Here is a 24657-nt window from a genome sequence, read left to right as displayed (position 1 = left end):
GTGGTTCCCTAATCTGGCAAACCCAAAGCTTAACAGGTTCTACACCAACTAGTGAATATCCTGAACAAGTTCTCTTTTATTGCAGACAGTCACTTTTATAATCATACCTTATGTACATATCAGAAACAATTTGGAAGTAAAAAGCCAAATCTTACCAAAAATAAGTTATTTATTGCTTTAAAAAATAAACATTTATAATAGAATACCAAATTCTATTTAATCTAATGTGTTAACAAAAGCATAATATATTCCAGTAAACAAGGACTTCCAACTTATCCTATAACTAAAAAGTCAACTAAACAGTTGGTTTTAGCTAGAGACAAACATCAGTCACTGCCACCAAATTCCATTATATAAATTTATTTTGCTTCACATTTAAGGAGAAACCCAGCAGAGGGGTCGCCCTGCTCTTCCCCACTAGAAATGTACTGAAAAGTGACAAGCCCACAGAAGGAAAGGCTGTATAAGGAAGTAGGAGCTTCAGTCAAATTTCTACTTTCATTACCCTGAGGGAGGTGAAGGAGGGTGTTATTTTCATCAGGTCAACATGGATGACAGTTTGATCATAAAAAACAGCCCACATTAAGATTTCATTTGTGAAATATGGTGAGCATGATCATGCCCTAATGATTTCTTAGGGTTTGGCAGTGTCTCTGGTCACATGCCCATACTTAGGGTTGAAAGAAATGCTAATACTGTACCCTGGGTCTTCCTCAGATGCCACAGTGGCTCCTGCCCTAGGATGACTAAAAATACGGCTCTCCTTTCCTTAGAGATACTGGCTCACTATCAAGAATAGAGGTAGGGAGGCATTGTGAACTCCAGAAGAGTTGAGTCTATGGAGTTTATTCCACAGTGGATACATTAGGCTTTTTAGAGCTACAATGAGACTGTCAGTAATAGGCGATCACCTTTTTATACCTATGAAACATTTCTTAAAATTCTCTTGGGTTTGGCCCAAAAGAGTGACCAGATTGAAAACTACTCTGTTATTCTTAAGGACAAATGCAATTCCTTTAAAGTTACAAATCAGTACTTATATCCTATAGTTGAGCATGTCTTCACACCATCCCCTGTTTTTGGCCTCCATATAAACAGATGCATTGCACTGCTGCATGGTATATTCCATCTCAACCAGCTGGCGGCATCCAATGGTTAACTTTTCCCTAGGAGAAAAAGAAATATTAAATCATTGCAAGACAGCTAGTCAGAGAAATAAAAATTCTTTTTCATTTTATTTTACATTTTAATTGACAAATAAAAAATATATATATATTATGTATAACATGATATTCTGAACTAGGTATATATTGTAGAATGGCTCAATCAAGCTAAATAACATATGCATTATTCCACACACTTATTTTTGTGGCGAGGACATGTAAAATCTACATTTTTAAAATTACTATTTAAAAAAAAACTTTTTTTAGAGATAGAGTCTCAGCATCTTGCCCAGGCTGGCCTCGAACTCTTGGGCTCAAGTGATCCTCCTACCATGGCCTCCCAAAGTGCTAGGATTACATGCATGAGCCACCACGCCCAGCCTTAGTTATTATTTTTAAAAGACAGGGTCTCACTCCTGTTGTCCAGGCTGGAGTACAGTGGTGCAATCACAGCTCACCATAGCCTCAACCTCCTGGGCTCAAGTGATCCTCTAACCTTAGCCTCCCAAGTAGCTGGGATCACTGGTACACACCACCACATCTAATTTTGTTTTGTTTTGTTTTGCTTTTTTTTTTGGTAGAGACAGGGTCTCACTATGTTGCCCTGTCTGGTCTCATTCCTGGGCTCAAGCAATTCTCCCATGTTAGCCTCCAAAAGTGTTGGGATTGCAGGCATGAGCCAGTGCATCTAGCCAAACTCTACTTTCTTAGTGATTTTCAAAATACAATACATTGTCATTAACTAAAGTCACCATGTTGTACAATAGATCTCTGAACTTATTTCTCCTATCTGAAATTTTGTGTCCTTTCACCACCATCTCCTCAAAGCCCCCCATCCTCCTAGCCCCTGGTAACCACCATTTTATTTTCTACTCATACTTTTTTAGATTCCACATATCAGTGAGAACATGTGGGTATCTGTCTTTCTGTGCCTGGTTTATTAATGTCTTTTAGGTTCATCCATGTTGTTCCAGATGACAGGATTTTCTTCTTTTTTTAAGAGTGAATAGTATTCCACTGTGTATATATCCCACATTCTCTTTATCCATTCGTTCACTGATAGACATTTAGGTTGATTCTGTATCTTGGCTATTGTAAATGGTGCTGCAATGAACATTGGAGTGCAGATATCTTTTTGACATACTGATTTCATTTCCTTTGGATATATTAAAAATTCTATTCCAACTGTGTGGCTTACCCCTTGGATTAAAACATCTTAACATAAGCCCATTTCCTACTAAGAGAGGTCCTTCAGAGAGTAAGGTAGAACTAGATTGTTCAACCAAGCCCATTATATAAAAGGCTATGTTAGGCATCCAGCTTTGCCTGTTGGTGGCAGGTCCACCACGGAAGAAGCCCTAATTCCAGAATTCTAGGAATCACACCAAGGTTGTCTTCATGTTGGCTATGTAAGAATTTGTGCAACTAAGTGCTTTTATCTTCCTATGTTATTTGTTTGTGCTAATCATAATTGATGGTATTTTACCTCAAATATCAAAGAATGTATTTCAAATCCCAGTATTAGTCCATTATATTTTTATTTTTCTCTTATTTGGCTTGAGAGTAAAGAAGAGGCAGACTGGAGGATATTAAGAGGATGTACCTCCTGAAAGGAACAGATACTTGAGAGGGGTAAGGAAGTTGACAGAGTTTCAATTCTTAGAAATATTGCTGAGACAAGTTACCTAGCAGTTACCAAAGGAATGTTAGTAACCTTAAACCAAGGGTGGGGAAGCAGGGAGTGCTTAATATGTGCCATATCTACTTCACAATTTTACTTCAGGCAAAGCCAGCCAGGCTCTCAAAAGCTAACATGAGACTACAAATTGTGGAATCCCAAATTGTAGGACACCAATCCATTATATCTAGCATCTAGAATTCAAAGTGTCAAAGAATTCAATCCCGTAAATAACTCTTTTAATCTACTGGGAGATGGTCTATGTAAGTTCACAAAGAGCACCCAACATCTAGTATAGCATCTGGCATGTTAAGTATTCAAAACTGGCAGTCATTTTTATTTTAACAGTTACACTGTCATTACTTCCTTGGCTTCTGAGATAGCTCTGCCATATTCATGGTGTTGGAGAGAACCACTAGCTACCTCTCCCACTGCCCCTCCCACATGACAGATCTCTTGATGGAGAGTACAAAGGAAGAAGAACTGAGGGGACAATCAGAACTCGGGACAGGACAAGGAGTAGTGACAACACCGAAGTAAATAATAATAAAGTAAATGTACCATATTTGGAATAATGTCACTTCTTGACAATGTGTGGTTTCTCTGAGACTGATTAAAGCCTGACTTTTGGGTGGCTCACATCTGTAATCCTAGCAACTCAGAAGGCTGAGGCAGCAGGATCATGAAGGCCAGGAGTTTGAGAGCAGCCTAAGCAATACAGTGTGACCTGCTCCCTAAAAATAATAATAAAAAAAATTTAAATCTGACTTTTGGCTTTGTGTAACCCTAATCTCATTTTCTACATTTAAAGTTTAAAAATAGGGCTATGGTGCTGCCAATTCTTCACAACTACTCAAAAAAATGATTTTGAAACACTCTTAAGGGATTCAAAATAGCAGAGATATAAATGTTTTCTTACAAACTTAAAAACGAAACAAACTAAAAGGGTAGGCCCCTATTCCTGTCCTTATTTATTCCACATGTGAAAAAAATATCCTTCAGTAACTAGACTTTTGAATCTATTTCTGTGTCTTATGTTTTTCTTCCTCTCACCCCTTGTAATTAAGAAATGAGCTCTATCTTCTCTTTTCCTCCTAGTGGCATTTGTTTCTTAATTCACGTGAGTTAGTATTCTGGACAATGGATTATCACCTACAGATTTTGCTTCCTGTAGCAAGTTCCGTCATCACTGGCTGAGAAAAGTATTGGCTGTTTTTCATAGTGTCTGCTTGGCCTATACTTTTTATTAGATCATGGTGATAGGCATTCTTAAGTTCCTTTACCTGGTGGTTAATCTGTAGAATGACAGAATATTGGCTGCAGGGGCACCTTAACACCTCTGCTTGTCTTCTGCAGCATCTCCAGTGAGTCATCTGACCTCAGCTTTTCCCTCCTGGTGATGGGACACTCACTATTGTAAGACGCAGTTCACTGCTAGATAGTTCTTCCTTTATATTGGGCCTATAAAAACCATCTATCTGACCTGAGTCTGCCTAAAATAAAACAAAAACTCTCTTTCCCTTCTTCCTCTGATAGTACAAATATTTTATGTCCCTATTTCTTTTTTTCCAAGAGGAATTATTCCAATTCCTGATCCTTTCGAGAACAGAGCTCAAAACTGGAGGTTGCTTCTGGTTCTGCGATTCATGAGATTCTGCAAAATAACAGCCACTATTTCTCTAGATTTTCCTATTAATGGTATCAAATTTGCTTTGACCAAATCTCGGGTCAAAATAACTAGAAATTTTATCATACAATTTAAAAATAATTCCACACAGTTTTGTGATTCCTTTCGCATAACCAATTTGGTCAAAGTGGCATGGTACTAGTGAATTTACATGATCTAATTCCAGTGCTGGATGCAATTTTTCCAAAATCCAAGAATGAGGTCTATAATGGATATGTGTTTTACAACCCTCTGAATTTTTCTATTTTTCTGAATTTTCTATTGCAAATTTCTACATTTGCAATGTGTACGTCAAATAAAAGAAAAATGAAATACAATGTAATATATAAAATACAAATATAAAAGCAGTATATAATAGCTAACATCAACGGTAAAAGAATGAATGCTTTCCTCCTCAGATCAAGAACACGATAAGGAAGGCTTCTTTCACTATTCAACTTTGTACCATTTTGTACAACTTTGTACAACTTTGTACTATTCAACATTGTACTAGAAGTTCTAGCCAGAGCAATTAGGCATGAATAAGAAATAAAAGAGATCCAAACTGGAAACAAAGAAACAGAATAATTTCTATTTGTAGATCCTAAAGAAGTCACAAAATAACTGCTAGATCTAATAAACTAATTCAGCAAAGTTGCAATGTAAAAGATCAACACACAAAATCAATTGTATTTCTATACATTAGCAATGAACAAGCAGAAAAGGAAATAATTCCACTTATGATAGCATCAAAAATAATAAAATACTCGGGAATCAATTTAATCAAAGAGGTATAAGACCTGTACACTGCCCATATGCGGTGGCTCATGCCTGTAATCCCAGCACTTTGGGAGGCTGAGGCGGGCAGATCACAAGGTCAGGAGTTCGAGACCAGCCTGGCCAACATGGTGAAACCCCGTCTCTACTAAAAACATACAAAAATTAGCCGGGCCTGGTGGCGTGCACCTGTAATCCCAGCTACTCAGGAGGCTAAGGCAGGAAAATTGCTTGAACCCAAGAGGCAGAGGTTGCAGTGAGCCGAGATCGCGCCACTGCAATCCAGTCTGGGCGACAGAGTGAGACTCTGTCTCAAAAACAAAAACAAAAACCACTGCTGAAGGAAATTAAAGAATATCTAAATAAGAGAAAAAGCATCCTATGTTAATGGACTGTAATATTTAGTAAGATGGTAATACTCCCCAAACTGATCTACATTGTCAATGCAATTTCTATCAAAATCCCAACAACCTTTTTTGTAGAAACAGAAAAGCTGATCCTAAAATTCAGATAGAATTGCAAGGCATCCCAAATAACAAAACCTTGAAAAAGGAAAATGTTAGAGGACTTACACTTGTCAATTTCAAAACTCACTACAAAGCAACTATTACCAAAATAGTTTGGTATGAGCAGACAGACAGACATCCAATGAATCAGAACTAAAAGTTCTGAAGTAAACCCTCACATATATGGTCAACTGATTTTCATCAAGGATGCTAAGACCATTCAATGGAGAAAGAATGGTCTCTTCAACAATAATACTATTAGGAAAACCTGATATCCACATACATGTATATGGATGGATGAATGCATGAATGAAGCTGGACCCCTTACCTTACATCATATACAAAAATTAACTCAAAATGGATCAATGGCCTAACTGTAAGAGCTAAAACTATAAAAATGTTAGAAGAAAACACTGGGATAAATCTTCATAACCTTAGGTTTGGCAATGGATTCTTAGGTAGTCTTAAAAGCATGGGCAATGCAAGAAAAAAATACATAAATAATCAAAATTAAAAACTTTTGTGCACCAAAGGATACTACCAAAAAGTGAAGACAACTTACAGAGTGGGAGAAAATATGTGCAAATTATGTATCTGATAAGGGTCTAATATCCAGAATATATAACATGTTGAACCGCCAGGTGTTGATGTGGTTAATAAGGACAAGGCAAATTAAAAGTAACCATCAAGTTTTTATTCACTTCTTGCCACAGTATAAGCAAGGGGCAAAATGAGAGGTGCTAGTTCTCCAGTGTTTCATTACTTCCCTAGGAAAGGGTGAGATAAATATGCACTGCTGGGTTGTCGGGGTGGGGCACACTGTCTCACTGCTGAGAAGCCCTGAAGAAGGCTGCTGCCTCTCTGCATCTTCATGAACCCAGGGGCCCACGGGGAGGAAGAGGAGGAAGGGCTAGAAGCAGAAAAGTACTGAGTCAGATAAGACAGAAATACCTTAGTCAAAGCCTCCAAAAGGAAGCCTCAGTGGAGGTACCTGGGAAGTGCCTCAGCCAACTCCCCCATCTCCTCATAAGAAGGCCTCCAAACAGAGTCACCTGAGCTAGGAATACAGCTGTGTGTGAGTGTGGCTGCAGGGAGTCTCAGTCACTGCCAGTAAGTACCTCCAGAAAACAGCATACACTGGCATGGAAAAAAAAAAAAAAGACACTTATCTGAGGAATGCAAGCCTGTTTAAATTATCAGGTCCAGAGAGGCACTGGAATGAAACAGCAGTCACATCACTCCCCCTTGAGCTAAATAATTATCTCTTGAAGACACTTGCTATGTGGGCTCTAGGCTAACTGACAAGAAGAAGCCACAACTGCCATATGCTGGACACCCTAACTCATACCCTCTAATTCAAAAATGTATAGCCAATCACTGAACAATGATATATCTGTCAACTATTGAGAATTCCTGTCAAATAACTTTGTATTAGCCCACTCCTTGTTCTCTCTCCCTTTAAAAATTTGCTTGTAACAAGGGCTGAGGGTACACTCCCCAAGGCAACTTTAACACACACCAGGGGCAGCTGTCTTCACTCTGGCTCAAGTAAACTCTTTAAATTATATTTTGTGCCTCAACTCTTCCTTTTAGGTCAACATTTCCTTAGGTATGGGGAAAGCAGCTTCCGCCATTGAGTTTGTCAGATAAAGCCTTGTAATTGTCTATAGTGGGCTCAAACATCACGTAAGATTTTGGCCTGAGGCCAAATTCCTCATAAAGAATTCTAATAACAGAAAGAAAGCCAACCCACTAAAAATGAGCAAAGGGCTTGAATAGACATTTCTCCAGAAGATATACAAATGGCCAAATAGCACATGAAAAGAAGTTCAACCTCTTCCCTAATTAATATTAGAGAAATACAAATTGAAATCACAATGAGATACAATTTCATACTCATCAGGATGGCAATAACTAACCAAAACCAAAAAAGGGAAAATAACAAGTGTTGTCCAAGATGAAGAGAAGTTGGAACTGTTGTATATTGTTAGTGGAAATGTAAAATAGTGTAGCTTCTGAGAATTAGAATCTCACCCAGGAATTCTACTCCTAGGTATATGACCCCCAAAATGGAAAATAATTATAAGAATTCAAATATTTATACACAAAGAGCAATACTACTTATAACAGTCAAAAAGTGGAAAGAACCCAAATGTCCATCAAGAGATGAATGAATAAACAAAATGTGGTGTGTATATATGTGTGTGTGTGATGGAATCTTATTCAGCCACGAAAAGGAATGAAGTATTGATATATGCTAAAATGTGGATAAACCTCAAAAACATTATGCTAAGTGAAAAAAGAGAGATACAAAGGTCACATGTATACATCGGAGATGGGGTGCATCTGATTGCCTGGTGTCAGAAGTGTGTTGTGATGAGTTTCAGAGCAAGAAAAACAGTTTGGTTTGGTATCCGTCTCATACAGTCAGGTACTTTGAGGCTGATGTCACAAACTAGTTTATTATCTCATAAAGGAACAAACAAACAAACAAACAAAAACCTTACATACTTGCCTAACAAACATGTCAAAACACTTTATCAAGAACTTACAAGACAGAAAAAAAAGTGAATTAAATGCTGTACCTAATTTCTCATAAAGATAGAAGATACTGCACAAGATATTTGTTTGGTAATGTTTGATAATCTCCTTAATTTACCATCCTGGATTTGGAGCAAACTCCTCATCTGCTCAGGGTAAGCAGTGCTCAGACACTCTACTGGCAAGAGCAAAAGCTACTTCAAAGAGTCTAAAAACTGGAGAAGAGAAAACACCAGCTGAATTGCAGATATAAGCACCAAGGTTCTTCTGTGTCTTATGGAATTCACTTTTCATCAAAGCTACTTTAATCTAAAATCTTAATTCCTTGCTTTATTAGAACCCATCAGTTTTATGTTCTTGAGCTACTTAATTGTATCCATATGCCAGGAGGGTGGCATACCCAACTCCATGGGGACAGAGGCTCCTGTTTGGGACTTTCCTGAACCTCACTCTATGTATCTCCTCTTCATCTACCTGTTCATTTGTATCCTTTAATTTATCCTTCATAATAAATGGGTAAATATAAGTAAAATGTTTCCCTGAGTACTATGAGCCACTCTAGCAAATTAATTGAACCTGAAGAGGGAGTCATGGGAACCCCCAATTTATAGGTAGTTGGTCGACCTGGAGGTTGTGGGGTTTCCTACTATACTCTCATATACTCCACTCAACAATTCTGACCCCAGATGTGTGTGGGGTTTTCTCCACACAGCACGCAATTCTCCAGTGAACACCGACTCGGTGTACTATAATTCAATTCAATTCTGACACTATCTGGAGTCAGAGTCAACTCCCACAGGTTGCGGGCTCATCAAACAAGACTGCCCCCCACTTCAGACAACAACTACAAGTAACAGTTTGTCACCTCTACTTCTGACCAACTGGCTTATAAATCAGGAGGGTTCCCACAACAACTCCCTCCTCAGGTGTAGTCTGCTAGGACAGCTCACAGAACTCAGGGAAATATTTATGTTTTACTCATTTTTTATAAAATACTTGATATTACCAAGCATATGTTGGAAGGGGCTGGAGCTTCCATGCCTTCTCTGTGTGTGCCGCCCCCCAAGAAGCTACATGGGTCCAGCAACCTGGAAGCTCTCTGAACCTGGTAGTTCAGGGATTTTTTTTTTTTAACCAAACCATTTAATTGTGTCTTCGAAGGTAAACAAAATATAAAGCTGGATCCCAAGCCCTAAGAATGCCAGAACTACACGTAGATCCAAAATGTGGTGTGGTTTTTCTCAACAGAGTTCAAAAGGGTCAGAACTCAAAAGTGTTAAAAGGCAGAGAATGGGTGGAATTCATGCACTCTGTTCAGCAATTTTGTAAATTACCAGAAATAGACCCCAAGAGTCTTTTACGGTGGGGAAAAACTCAACTCCTGGTTTTACAGGTAAAGAATGAGTACCAAAAATGTTATGTTGACTTCTCTTAATTTTTCTCACACAATCTGAAGCCAGAGCTGACTATTACATCCTCAACTCACAGCAATTGAAACTGCAGTATTAGGTACAAGATCAGTCCCTCTATCCATTTGCTTCCATGTAATGCCACAGCAAGGGTGGCCAGAAGCAGAGGGTTGTCAATAGAACAGCTTTTCAAAAAGCACTAAAAGCAAGCAAGAACCTTCTAGCAGCACACTGATTTAGTTTATTAGGTTAATTTACAAATTTTAAAAGCTACATGTTTTACTTTTTCTCCTTTTTCTCTTCTTTCATCACTGTTTATGTTTTCTTTGTCTTTCTCTCTGTCTCCTTTTCTATCCTTTTTGTTCTCTTCTTTTCCTGTCCGTCTTTCTTCTCTGCACCCTGGTTAGCAATCTTGTTGTTGATGAGGCTGTGCAGGGCAACCAAAAACAGATCAGCAAGGCCAAGTATATCACCTCCATTTGGTGGTCGGTCTTCAGGTGAAAGGCCTTGACAAACTCATCAGGGCTGACATCTGGCAGCAGGTTGAAGACATCCTACAGCAGGCAGATGATCTGATGGTTTATGGGTAGCTTGCCTGTCGCTACTTTTACCCTTCAAGCCATGCATAGACCTGGTTAATAATCTGCTAGGAAAGAGTACCCACGGTAGTGTCTTTGATGTCTCATAACAAGTGTTTGACTCTGACTTCCTCAGCTTCCTCTGCTCCAGTTTCACAGTCACATGCTCAAATGTTTTTGTGGTTGTAGTTCTATCAACATGAACTTCTTCCACTGTATATGTTTCTGTAACTTCTTCCACAATATATGCTTCTGTGGGCAGGCTCAGGTCCTTGGGTTTCACATCAATAATGACCAAAACAAGAGTTAGGGCAGCATCATTTCATTACTTCATTGATGGCAATGGCATTCTTGTAAAGTTTATGGCCTGTGTGGTGCCACCCAAATATTCTTTCTCTGGCATTTATTTACCTTCTTAAACAATCCATAAATGTTTTCCAAATAATCTTGGTCTAAAAATCAGATCATCTTTGTCATCTTCATAAAAAAGGACTTAGTCATCATCATAAAAAGGGACTGAAAACTCTTGGACATATCAAGTATTTTCTTTTGCCATGACCCCAATAGCACACCAACATGCTTCTGGTTTCCAACCTCACCAAATTAGCTGAAGTGATCCACCACACTGAGAAGCAACAGGGGGTAGACCACCACCTTCTGCACCGCCAGCTCTGGCATCACAACACACCCCAACCCTCAAGTCCTGGCTCCCTGCCACTCGCCAACACCAACAGTGGCAAGAACTCTCTCAGCTCCTCCAGGCCCAGCTTCTCCTATTCCAGTTTGGCAGCTACTGCCAGTTCAGGGATTTTTATGGAGGAGGCTTCATCCTGTAGGCATGATGGATTATTAACTCAACCTGGAGCCCCTCTCCCCTTCTGAGAGGATAGGGGGTAGAGCTGAATGTGTTAAGCTTCTAATCATGGCTGGGTCCTTCTGGTGACCAGCCCCCATCCAGGAGCCCACCAAGAGTTGCCTCATTAGAGCAAACGATGCTCCTATCACCTAGGAAATTCCAAGAGATTTAGGAGCTCTGTGTCAGGAAACCAGGTTAAAGACCAAAGATTAGAACAAAAGATTATCCCAGAAGTCCTATCTAGGGTTTTAGGAGCTCTGTCTCAGGAACCAGAGTCAGCGACTGTCATTAGTCCGTTTTCATACTGCTATAAAGAACTGCCCAAAACTGGGTAATTTATAAAGGAAAGAGGTTTAGCTGACTCACAGTTAAGCATGGCTGGGGAGGCCTCAGGAAACTTACAATCATGGAGGAAGGGGAAGCAAGGCACCTTCTTTGCAAGGCAGCAGGAATGAGAAGTGCTGAGTGAAGTGGGAAGAGCATCTTATAAAACCATCAGATTTCAATGAGAACTCTCTACCATGAGAACAGCATGGGGGAAACTGCTCTCATGATTCAATTACCTTCACCTGGTCTCTCCCTCCAAACGTAGGGATTATAGGGATTACAATTCAAGATGAGATTTGGGTGGGGACACAAAACCTAACCATATCAGGGCACAGATACACTTCTCATTATTTCACATCTCCTTATTGCAATAAATATGGTGTGGCACATCAACAGTTTCCTTGTTTACAACTAATGCTTTAAAAAAAACAAAAACAAAGATTATCAAATTCAGACAATTTAAATAATTGTCTTAAACATTAACTGTCCTTCATATTCCCAAAGGGAGTCATCTATATGCAAGTTAAATCATTCTTCTGTTTTCACCTCTGAGTCACAGGGAAATGGTGTCACCTTTCATCTTCCACAATTGGCCCCATATCTAGTATGAACCAGTGAAACCAAAAAACCCTCTCTCTTTTGGCAGCTTATTTGAAAATTTTAAGTTGTGGAGCACACCAGAGACAAATATGGAAGATACTGTGTACTCTAAATATTGGCAAATAATTTCACAAAAAACCCAAAAGATCTAAATAGTATTAACTGAAAGCTTGCTGAGCAGCAATTACCATTTTTCAATGCCTGCAACATATTAAATATATTTGATTTCTCTTTAAAATCATCCTTCTGGGTATAAAAGAGGGTTTACTCATTAACTTCATAGTTTAAATCCCTGACATAATAAATGGAAAGAAAACAAAGAAAAAAAATAGTACAACTACTTTAACTATGAACATTTGACCTGACTCCTGAACTTCCCCCAATAAAAACTCTGCCAACTAATCTAAAAGTAAGCTAAAATCAAAACAATTCTAGACGTCTACTAGGATCATGCTTCAAGAAATTGTGGCCTCCATGTATCTACAATAAGCTTTTTACACTAAAAAATACGGCTAAGGTTGGAAGATGTTATATTTTTGACACATCTCACACAATATTTTAAATGTGGATTATCTGTAAAAATCTATATGAGTAAAACCGATTCATTGATAATCTGAAGATTAGGGCAAGAAAACATTTTCTCCCCCAACTGTAACAGATTTGTGTATGCCAACTGGCTTCAGATTTTCTTGAAAAACTTATTTTAATCTAATGAGTTGGTGAACTTTCATAGTTGTGTTGAAACATTTGTGTATGACTATCAATCCTACATCTGATATCCTCAAACAAATTTATCAGTCTGGAGCTTTAACAGTAGAAGCATTTTGCTAGTTAACTTTGTTGCTAGGCCTGTTCATAATATTTTGTAGCCACACAGGTACACAGGTAAGTTATATATAGCAAATGAACTGTGGTTTAGTGATACTTTTATTAAGTTCCTACCTTTTTAAAAATGTGTCCCAAATGAGGTTAAGTGTTATGCTCCTAATCCCATTTTTCCCATAAACCTTGTGGTTTTTATTGCATGACTATACAATGCAGTGGCGACATTTACGAATGCACATGTCGTGTTACAACAGAACTCACTGAAAACCAATTACTGCCCCATGTGTCAACATGGATCAATCCTGATGTTAAGCTAAAATGGAATATGTAGTGGTGGAGGGTATTGGAAGGCAACAGTGAAGGAATTAAACAGTTTTAGCTCCTCATGAATTTGCCTGGGCCTAGAATTAGAGGGACATCTTAGACTGTCCAGGCTGCCATAATTAAATATCTTAGATTGGGGAGCTTACAAACAAGATAAATTTCTCACAGTTCTGGAGGCTGGGAAGTTCAAGATCAAAGCACCAGCAGATTTGGTGTCTGGTGAGGGTCCTCTTCCTCACAGATGGTGCCTTCTCTGTGTTCTCACATGGCAGAAGGGAAGGAATTAGCCAATGCTCTGCAGTCTCTTTTATAAAGGTACTAATCCAATTCCCAAAGGCCCCATCTTCTGATACTATCATATTGGGGATTAGATTTCAATGTATAAGTTTGGAGGGTACACAAGCATTAGCCCACAGCAAAGGCTTCACAACTATACCCTGTGTATGTAAGAATTGGATTTGCGGCTGGGCATGGTGGCTCATGCCTGTAATCAATCCCTGTACTTTGGGAAGCCAAGGCAGGAGGACTGCTTGAGTCCAGGAGTTCGAGACCACCCTGGGCAACATAGTGAGACCCTGCCTCAAAAAAAGACAAAAAGAAGATTAAAAAAAAAGAATTGGATTTATAATACTTGCCCTTTTTGTTATGTATGAATGCTATAAAACAAATCATTTTGGAAAAAAAAGTATATAGTGTGATACATTTAAGTTCAAAAATCAGCAAAATAAATCAACTTATTTTTGTTATAAATAACAGTAAAACCACAAAAAAAAAAGATGAGAACTATAAAGATACAATCCCTTGAGAGAGAATAAAAGGTAGGTTACAGCTAGAAATGGGTAAAATTCAAGTTTGTTAGTTGAATGGTAGGCAGATGGGTATTTTTTATATCAGTTGTTCTTGAAAACATGGTCTGGGGACCACAGGGAATCTAAGACTCTCTCAGAGGGTATGCGAGGTCAAAGAAGTCAAAGCTATTTCCATAATAAGACTAAGATGTGGCCAGGTGCGGTGGCTCAAGCCTGTAATCCCAGCATGTTGGGAGGCTGAGGCAGGTGAATCACCTGAGGTCAGGAGTTCAAGACCAGCCTGGCCAACATGGTGAAACTCCGTCTCTACTAAAAATACAAAAAATTAGCCGGGCATGGTGGTGGGTGCCTATAATCCCAGCTACTTGGGAGGGTGAGGCAGGAGAATCGCTTGAACCTGGGAGGCAGAGGTTGCAATGAGCCAAGATCGCTCCACTGCACATTGTCGCACCATTTGCGACAAGAGCAAAACTCTGTGTCAAAGAAAAAATAAAAAAAAACAAATAAATAAACAAATAAATAAATAAATAAAGACTAAGATGTGATTTGTCGTTTGTACTCTTGCTCTCACAAAAGTGAACAGTACTTTTCCCGCAATCCGGCCATGCTTATCAAAACAGATTGAATGCAAAAGCAGTTGTAAGAATCCCACTGCCTTCTATTAAGCCAGTCATTAAAAGATTTGCAAAAATGTACAATGTCACTTTTAACATTTTCATAATATTTTATTTATCTTAACATGTAGTTGTTATTTTTAAATGAATTAATAAATAAACATTTTAAAATTCTCAGTTCTAAGTTTTAATACAGCAAATATAGCTAGATAATGACCCATACAAAAAAAAGCTCTTTGGGATCTTCGATAATTTTAAAAAATGTAACAAAGTCTTGAGGCCAAAAAATTGGAGAACCACTTTAAACCTAATAGCTGATAAACACACAACACATGACCTTTTTGTATATAGGAAATATTTAATATTAGTAAGGTAAAAAAAAACAGTGTAGTGAAAAGACAATGAAAAAACACATCACCACCACCACCACCACCAAGTGCTGCTGTATATGGAAAAGCTTGTTACAATGGTTTATATCTATATATAGATATGACTTACCTATACTCAGTCTGAGAAACACAATCATAAATTTCCTGGGCAGTAAATTTGACATTTTTATTTACCTGAAAGGAACCAAGATATAGTTATTAAAAATATATATTAAAGTGAGTGATGACAGCAAAATTAGAGTAGCCCATATTCTGAGAGGAAAGTTCAAATTTCTAGTTATTGCATAAAAAGGATTAAACAGCAACAATAAGAAGTGCAACGACTATAATGCTAACATGGAACTGTATGCAAAAATATGAATCCCACTATTATATCTTAATCTGTTAGTAGAACCAGCAGAGGTGAGATGGGCCTAGACACAGTAGAGATCAAATGGACAGAAAAACACAAATAAGATTATAAACTGCAGACAGTTCTATCTGGTTTAGGAAAAAGTTTGATTTACAGACATTTTCTGAAGAAATATATTTTTCAGATTATTGAGGTCTACATGTTTAAACTAATAGGTTTAAGTTAATAAATATCTATATCAGAGATATAATTTATAATACCATAAATATAAAAATCTTTCATCATATAAAAACTAGCTATGGCACACATATGGAAGACACAGTGAAGGAATCTTGAAACTTACTATTCATTTAGACAATATTCCTATTTATATGCAGGGAAGAATCTGAAAACTTGCAGAGAAAAATTATTTTGATCAGATAACAAATAATATATTGACTAAATTTTCAGAAAATTAGAATTAGTAAAAGGAAACAGTAAGGCTAATTTCTATTCAATTTACTTAAAAAACATTTCTAAGTGTTGCTAGCTGGCATGCATTTTTTGGTGGGGAAGAATGATACCCCCTAATTTAATTACTACTAATTTAAAGATTCTTATCATAAAAGTCTTCTATATGATTCAATGTATTGCTTATTGGCAAAAATTCCATGACTTTCTTCAATGTTTTCATAGAAAGTTTACCATATTTGTGTAGAAAATGTTTCATTCACTGTAAGTTTAAAAATATACAGTTTTTTTGGCCAGGTGCAACAGCTCATGCCTGTAATCCCAGCACTTTGGAAGGTCAAGGTGGGAGGATTATTTGAACCCAGGAGTTTGAGACTAGCCTGAGCAACATAGTGAGACCCGTCTCTATTTAAAAAAAGAAAAATTATATATATATGTACACACATATATATAGTTTTCAAATATTTAAATGAACATGGATATATTGCTTAAAATTAGTATATATTTATATATTTAGTATTATTTAATTATATAATATTTGATATTATATTTAATGATTATATGAAATTGGTATATAATTTACCATAATTTTTAAGAGAATCTTCTAAAAATGTTATAAAAAATTCATTTAAACTATCAACCAGTCCACTTCTTTCTTCTTTACATGTTCTGCCTTCTCCTAAGGGCTGTTGATATTGTTACTATAGCCACACATTCTGGGACCATCAATGTATCAGAACACGGGCCACCAAATGTCAACACACTGCAGACATTTGGTCAGAGGATGAAGCGAATGATCCATTTTCTACAACTATTGAGAAAAATCAGCTGAAAAACTGAATTTGAACCTGTTAAATATGAATATAAAATAATTTATATTAAGCTTTTAATAGATCTTTTTTTAAGTATCTACATTTATCTCTAGTTGTAAAAGCAACCATCCACATACATTTAGACATTTATCCAAGAACACAGCTGGAAGTATAAAGGTGACATAATTCCAGGTTATAGTAGATAATTTACAAAGTAGGAGTTACTTTACTAATAAAGAAAAACTGAAGCACAGTCTCATGATGGTCTGGCCTGATCTTGTTTCACCATATTAATTAATTTTGACTATGAAGACATTTTCACTTACCCATATTGAGACATTTTAAATTACACTGCTAAATATCATCTCCATGCTTAAATGAACAATTTTAATTTCCAGGGGAAAAAAATAGCTAAAACATGCCACTGTCAGCAAACATTAGAGTTGTGACTATAAAACGAATTGTGAAATGGGTATCATTACCTTTTAGCTGTACTACTTACAGTAAAAGCCAGATATTAGAAATGGCTTCTTTTTAATTAAAAAATTCAAGAAAAGGCAAAGGAGAAGTATAAAAATAGTCAAACTCCTTAAAAGATTTAGACAGTCCTACCACCATTTTTAATATTAGACAAATATCTCCAATGTAGTAACTGATGTAGGAAAAGCAATTCTTTTAAGAGAAATGATTTTAAAAATCTGTGAATCAGCCAGGCACGATGATGCATGCCTGTAGTCCCAGCTACCTGGGAGGATGAGGTAGGAAGATTGCTTGACCTAGGAGTTCAAGGATCTAGTGGGTCATGACTGTGACAAATATATATATATCTGACATCTATATATAATATATATATAAAATATATATATCTGACATCTATATATAATATATATTACATATATCTGACATCTATATATAATATATACAACATATGATTCTTAGATCTACATATTCTTATTTTTTAATTTTTAAATTTTTTTCTTGTTTCTTTATATCACAAGATATCATGAAGCAACAGATCCACATATTCTTATAATTAATAAGTTAGGTACTTTCTTCTAATACTCTTGGCAATAGAAAGTACTAAATTAAAAAGAACTATGCCCCAGAATTTTCCAGGGTATGTGATTTTAAAACTGTCCTATTGTTCATATATATTTTAGAGCTGGAGTCATGCTCTGTCACCCAGTCTGGAGTGCAGTGCTATGATCATGGCTCACTGCAGCCTTGAACACCTGGCCTCAAGCGATCCTCCCACCTCCAGCCTCCTGAGTCACTGGGATCACAGCCACCATGCCCAGTTCTACAAATACATTTTTGTTAGACTTGATGTTTTGATTTGAAATTCAGAAAGTAAGATGAAATAATTATATGAATCATTTCAAAAGAGGAAGTTCTCTTAATAATCATATAATGTGGTGATAAAGAATTAAGGCTCTTTTATTTTTATTTATCTATTTATTTGAGACAGAGTCTCACACTGTCGCCTGGGCTGGAGTGCAGTGGTGTGATCTTGGCTCACTGCAACCTCCGCCTCCTGGGTTCAAGCAATTCTCCTGCCTCAGCCTCCTGAGTAGCTGGGATTACAGACATCCGCCACCATACCCGGCTAATTTTTTTGTATTTTTAGTAGAGACGGGGTTTCACTATGTTGGCCAGGCTGGTCTGGAACTCCTGACCTCATGATCCGCCTGCCTCAGCCTCCCAAAGTGCTGGGATTACAGGCATGAGCCACCGCGCCCAGCCTATTTTTACTGTTTTTGAGACAGAGTCTCACTCTGTCACCCAGGCTGTAGTGCAGTGGTGCAATCTCGGCTCACTGCAACCTCCACCTCCCAGGTCCAAGCAATTCTCCTGCCTCAGCCTTACGAGTAGCTGGGATTGCAGGCCCATGCCACCACTCCTAGCTAATTTTTGTACTTTTAGTAGAGATGGGGTTTCATCATGTTGGCCAGCCTGTTCTCAAACTCCTGACCTCAAGTGATCCACCTGCCTTGGCCTTCCAAAGTGCTGAGATTATAGCTGTGAGCCACGGCGCTCAGCCAAATTAAGGCTGACTCTTAAAAAGCCCATATAAACACCATTCATTGCTTAAATAAAACTAGTTAACCATCCCCTCCCCCTTTTTTTTTTTGAGACAGGGTCTTGCTCTGTCAACCAGGCTGGAGTGCAGTGGTATGAACATGGCTCACTGCAGCCTTGACCTCCCGGACTCAAATAATCTCTCCTCAGCCTCCCAAGGAGATGGGACCACAGGTGCATGCCACCATGCCGGCTAATTTTGTTTGTTTTTTAGAGAGATGGGGTCTCACTGTGTTGCCCAGACTGGTCTTGAACTCCTGGGTTCAAGCGATCCACTGACCTCAGCCTCCCGAAGTGCTAGGATTACAGGCGTGAACCACCAAGCCTGGCCAAGACTAGTTCTCTGTGCCTGGTACTGTTTGGAGCACTTTGCATATTTTACATTATTTAATCTTTGCAGAATACAAATAATTTACCTACTATTGTTACTCTCATTTCACAGATGAAGAAATTGAGATAAGGAGAATTAAATAACTCTTCCTAGATCACACAGTTAATAAGTAGAAGAACCAACATTTAAGCACGGGTAGTTTGACTTCAGAGTCTGTGTTCTTAATCACTGGGTTCTTAATGGAAGATGTGGCATACAGAAAGTTAAACAAAGAGCTAACCAGGAATAAAAGTGAAGAAATATATTTAAAGGAGTTTGACTTCATAAGAAATTTGAGACCTGAATATATGCCACATTCCTTCATTTAGAATGTTTTAAAAATTAAACACATATACACACAAAATTGAAAGTAATACTATTACAGGAAACATAAACAAAGAGCATTAAGCACACAGAAATTGACAACAGAATACCCGCTTCGGTTCAGTAATGATGAGGAGAGCATGCAGGTTAATTTACAAAATACACTGAAGCCTCATTATAGTTCTACCTCCAGGGTTTATGCTGCCACTATAGAGGAAACTAAATTATAGCTCTCCTTTCCAGTAATAACTATTTCTCAACCAGGAGTTCTTCCTTTGTGAGGTATTCTGGGTATGTAAGTTGGATGGGGAGATGGAATACTTTTGGTTGTCACAACAACTGGTATCGCTACAGGCATTTAGTACCTGATGTATAGGGATGTTAAACATCCTGCAGTGTTCCACACAATGAAGAAATGACCTGTCCAATATGCCAACAGCACCCCTGATGAGAAACAATTTCGCACTGAGGAAAGCGTGTTATTTTAGGACTCTCATATTTTTACTTAGGGAATCAAAGAAAAAATTGAATATGTCACTGGCAGGGAGGAGGGGATGAAATGGACAGTTGTAGATCACAGGATAGGAAGCTGCAGATACATAGGATGAACAAGCCTAGAGATCATACAATATGAAGTCTATAGTTAATAAGACTGTATTATATTCAAAATTTTTGCTAAAAGAGTACATTTTAGTTGCTCTTGTCACATACACAAAAAGGGTTAACTGTGAGATAGCTGATATGTTAATTTACTTACCTACAGAAACCATTTCACTATGTATAACATATCAAAACACCATGCTATATACCTTAAATATACCATTTTTTAAAAGTGAGAAAAAAAGAATATGTCACTGACAAACTTTTATGGCATTCAATAATTTAAAGCAAATATCAATTAAATAGCATTCCACTATGTTTGAGAACTCCTACTCTGTTTATTTACATTAAAATTTGTTTAAAGTAGAAATGTGATAAATATTTTAAAATATTTCCCATACCTCATACTTGATTAGGAAGTTATAGAGGGTCTCAACATCTTGATAATTACTGTTTGGGGCCAAAATCCTAAAAAATAAAATAAAAACAAAGGGGGGGAATAAATGATTTCAGAAAAAACCAATACCTTGAACTTTCTCCCAAAACATACCCATACCACAAGAGGTAACTTATTGTTTAATAAGCTTACAGGTTTATAATATTTTTAAAAATCAATTAAAAATTATAAAACCAGAAACTTAATTCAACGGAGGTCAACTTATTAAAATGTTTTTGCTTATTTAAATTCATGCTTATAACATCAATTAATCAACAACTATAAGCATTCTTACACGTGAAGTTATAGTTCACATTTTAAGATACAATAATACAGATTTCTCAAAAAGTAGACAGAAATGTGAAGTGCATTTATACTTCATATCTTTTAAGCTCCAGACAAAGCTTGAGTATTTCCCACAGAAATGTTCAACCAGTCCAAACAGACAACTGATGAAACTATTAGCCACTTAAAAGATATCCTAATAAAAGATTTTGACTAAATTCAAATAACATTGCTTGAACTATCAGCCTACAGCTCTATGAAAAATCAATAGATTACATAAATTGTGAAAATAACACTGATTGACAAAAAAATAACAAATGACAAACACAGAAATAAAACAACTTTTTAAATTTATTTTTTTGAGACCAGGTCTCACTCTGTCGCCCAGGCTGTAGTGCAGTGGTGTGATCATGGCTCAATGCAGCTTCAACCTCCTGGGCTCAAGCAATCCTTCCACCTCAGACTCCCAAGTAGCTGGGTCTACAAGGCAAGCGCCACCAAGTCGGGCTAATATTTTAAAAAATTATTTTGGTAGAGAAGAGGTCTCCCCATGTTGCCCAGGCCCGTCTCAAACGTCTGGACTCAAGGGATCCTCCCACTTCAGGCTCCCAAAGTTCTGGGATTATGGGTGTGAGCCACAGCACCCGGCCATAAAAATAATGAAGGGAAGAACATATTTTTACTTCTAGTAGTAAAGTATTAATTCTCATTTTCTTATACTAAATATTTTTTCCATACTTTCAGCATGAATACTGTTTTTCTTTTGGAAAAAAAAAAAAAAAAGGAAAGTAAACCAGCCTGTCATTTTGGTACAGTGTAGTGCCTCTGAGTACTGTCTGCCTCAACTGTGTGAGTTTTGTCTAGCTGTGTGACCTTGGTGAGTTACTTAACTTTTATGTGATTTATCTTCTTATCTGTTAAGTTAGGATAACTGTCCCTACTTCGTAGGGCTACTGCAAGAATTAAATTAATTACTATAAGAAAAGTCATTACAACAGCATATGAAATACAGCAAGTACTATACAGTATATGTCAATTATAACAGTGACAGTAACAACTATCATCATCATCATCATCTAATAAAGATGCTCTTTGACTTATAATGGGGATACACCCCGATAAACCCATCGTAAATTGAAAACATCCTAAGTAGATGTGCATTTTGACTTGTAATATTTTTAATTTATGATGAGTTTATCAGAAGATAACCCTAACCCCATGGTAAGTCAAGGATTGTGCTAAATGCTTTGCACCATCATAGAATTGAAAAATCCTAAAACAAACCATTATAAGTTGGAAATCATCTGTAGTTTCAAGCTATAAAATAAGTAAATATTGATATTAACTAATGAGAAATCAAGCCACTTCGGTTAACTTTTAGATTCCTAATGGCTTTTAATTACAACACTGTCTCTGGGTCTTCACATCCTTGCCACTACTTGATTCTGTCAGACTTGATAATTAACTGTTCTCAATAATCTTAATTACATCCTTAGACTATTTGGCCTTTATTACACTTGCGGGAGAGCTTTCATAAATAGTTTTTCGGGACATAGTCAAATTTTTAAAGGTCCCTTGGAGGGGGCACACATACAGAACATCTTTAAGAATATATAACAACCTCCATAAGAATACTATTTCATAGAAAAAGTTTTTCTCCCAACAAGTAATTTTAAAATACAAAAAAAAAAAAAAACAAAAACCTCTTAACCCTCCAAAAAAGCCCTGAGGAATACTACATATGGAGAAGGACCCATACATAATTTGCTTGGATAATACATATGGAGAAGGATCCATACATAATTTGCTTAAAACATGAAGACAAAGCTATCTAGATAAGTTAAACCAATCCTTTAGAAAGGCAAGGGAAACAAACTAGTGTGTTCTAACTTGGTAACCAAGTGAAAACAAACTATCAGGCCAGGCGCGGTGGCTCACGCCTGTTATCCCAGCACTTTGGGAGGCTGAGGCGGGCAAATCACGAGGTCAGGAGATCGAGACCATCCTGGCTAACACGGTGAAACCCCGTCTCTACTAAAAATACAAAAAATTAGCCGGGCGTAGTGGCGGGCGCCTGTAGTCCCAGCTACTCGGGAGGCTGAGGCAGGAGAATGGCGTGAACCCGGGAGGCGGAGCTTGCAGTGAGGCGAGATCGCGCCACTGCACTCAAGCCTGGGCAAAAGAGCGACACTCCGTCTCAAAAAAAAAAAAAAAAAGAGAAAAAGAAAGAAAACAAACTATCAGCCATGTGGAATATTTTATACCTATTCTTTTTTACGGCTTTAGAAATAATCTGAACTGTCCATAAAAGAGGGCGAGAAAATCAGATAAAACAAGATGTTCTATATTATGAGGCTAGTAAGTTTAACATACTATATTAGACTCCAGAGGATGAGACAAACTCTAGTGAATGTCCAACCCTCACAGTGTATTTGATGAGTAAATAAAAATGTAAAATATGTACTAAAGATGCCCAGATCAGAGCAAGTGACCCTTTATTCTCTCATTCAACAACTATTTGAGACCTGGGCCCCTGGATACAATGGTGAACGATCCAGAGTAGCTCAAAGCCTCACAGTTCTAAAGAGGGCATGAAAGAAACAAATCCTGACCAGGCACAGGGAGATAATAAAGGAAGAAAAATATATCATTCTTGTCCGTCTGGCCATCTCTTCCAACTTTTCAATGGCTACTTGTAAACAAATTAAGAAACACAGGAATTTTAAGTTTCTAAGAAAGAAGTAATTTGTTCTAAATGTAAATATTTAGTTATTTCACAAAATATCACAGAATTGTATTCTAATGAAGAAAGGTTTATTGGGATCTCATCTTCATTCACAGCTATATTACTTTTATAATCAGATAAAAACTATATATGTTACTTTTTAAAACAACAATATATGTTATAGGATATATGATAAAATTTGTTATTTTGAAAGATGGTTGGAGGTAAACTGAGCCCAGAATGGACTGGACAACTTTATTAAAATGCAGTCAACTTGGGGTTGAATTTAGACTTCATTACATCCTATGAACTCTGAATATGAGAATGGAATGTGGCCTGGCACAAAAAAATTGCAAACTTTTACTCACTAGAAATACAGCTTGTTGAAAATATACAGAAAATAAAATAGAGAAAATGCCTTAGTAATTCCCCACACAAAATTCTTGAGAGGTCAGCCTTCTCTAAAGTTTTCTCATTCTTTTTTTCTTGTACAGTATGAAGACAAAAGGCTTTTTGAATGAAAGTCCTAAAATCACCCTTCAATGGCAACTCTTTAAAAGAATGATGGAATCAAGAAATTAGCCCTTGGGAAAAATATCTTTTAGACAATGGCCATTTTTAAAATTTATAAATATATTCATATTTGTCCTTTAAAAAGAAATTCATAACAATTACAGTAAGTATATATTAAATGCATATTTGTTCAAATGCATATGAAGCTATGAAATATTTAAAAAAATAAGACATGGTCCATTATCCTCAAGTGGTTTATAATCTTAAAATTTCACTCTTAAATTCTGGAATGAGTTTTGGGGAACAGATGTTGAAGCAGGATGTAATCTGCAGCTCACAGCTGGATGTGCTCTGGTTTCCTTTATGACAGCATCAATAACAACACATAATGACTTACTGAACACTTAAGTCTGACCCTGCTTTACATACACTATCTCCCTGAATTTAATTACGTAGCCCAGCTTTAACACCCTAAATTCGGTTTTGCGACCTTGATCAAGTTGCCTACTTCTCTGTATCTCAGCTCCTTACCTGTGAAATGGGGATAAAGCAGCGTTAACCTCATAAAGTTACCGTTCGAATTAAGTAATGCATCTACAGTGTTTAGCACAACATAGGGCACACGGTACATGCTCAATAAATATTAGCT

At 37.1% G+C, this 24657-nt stretch overlaps 1 protein-coding gene, 1 long non-coding RNA gene and 1 pseudogene across 14 annotated transcripts in view; 1 reads left to right on the top strand and 2 right to left on the bottom strand.

Moving 5' to 3' along the window:
* Positions 1-58: 58 nt before the first annotated feature.
* Positions 59-24657, bottom strand: part of SWT1 (SWT1 RNA endoribonuclease homolog) — a 134722-nt gene continuing 110123 nt past the window's right edge. For 11 of the 13 annotated variants that reach the window (XM_005245271.3, NM_001105518.2, XM_011509657.2 and 8 more), the window contains 3 exons: positions 20451-20517; positions 15172-15236; positions 59-1166 (listed from right to left, as the gene is read on the bottom strand). In XM_005245271.3, coding sequence (XP_005245328.1) covers positions 1037-1166; positions 15172-15236; positions 20451-20517 — 262 coding nt within the window. In that variant the 3' untranslated portion in view covers positions 59-1036. Of the gene's footprint in view, positions 1167-15166; positions 15237-20447; positions 20518-24657 lie in introns of those variants that run through there. The other 2 variants (XM_047423246.1, XM_017001528.3) reach the window with 2 other exon arrangements.
* Positions 1166-24161, top strand: LOC105371651 (uncharacterized). Its single transcript, XR_922360.3, has 3 exons — positions 1166-8486; positions 21515-21647; positions 23990-24161. It is a non-coding gene; the product is annotated as an uncharacterized LOC105371651 (long non-coding RNA).
* On the bottom strand, positions 9727-10548 carry PSMD7P4 (PSMD7 pseudogene 4; annotated as a pseudogene).

Source organism: Homo sapiens, chromosome 1, assembly GCF_000001405.40.
Source record: "Homo sapiens chromosome 1, GRCh38.p14 Primary Assembly".
NCBI classification, from domain to species: Eukaryota; Metazoa; Chordata; class Mammalia; order Primates; family Hominidae; genus Homo; species Homo sapiens.
Note: the sequence above shows the minus strand (reverse complement) of the source record. Positions and strands in the feature narration are given on the sequence as shown.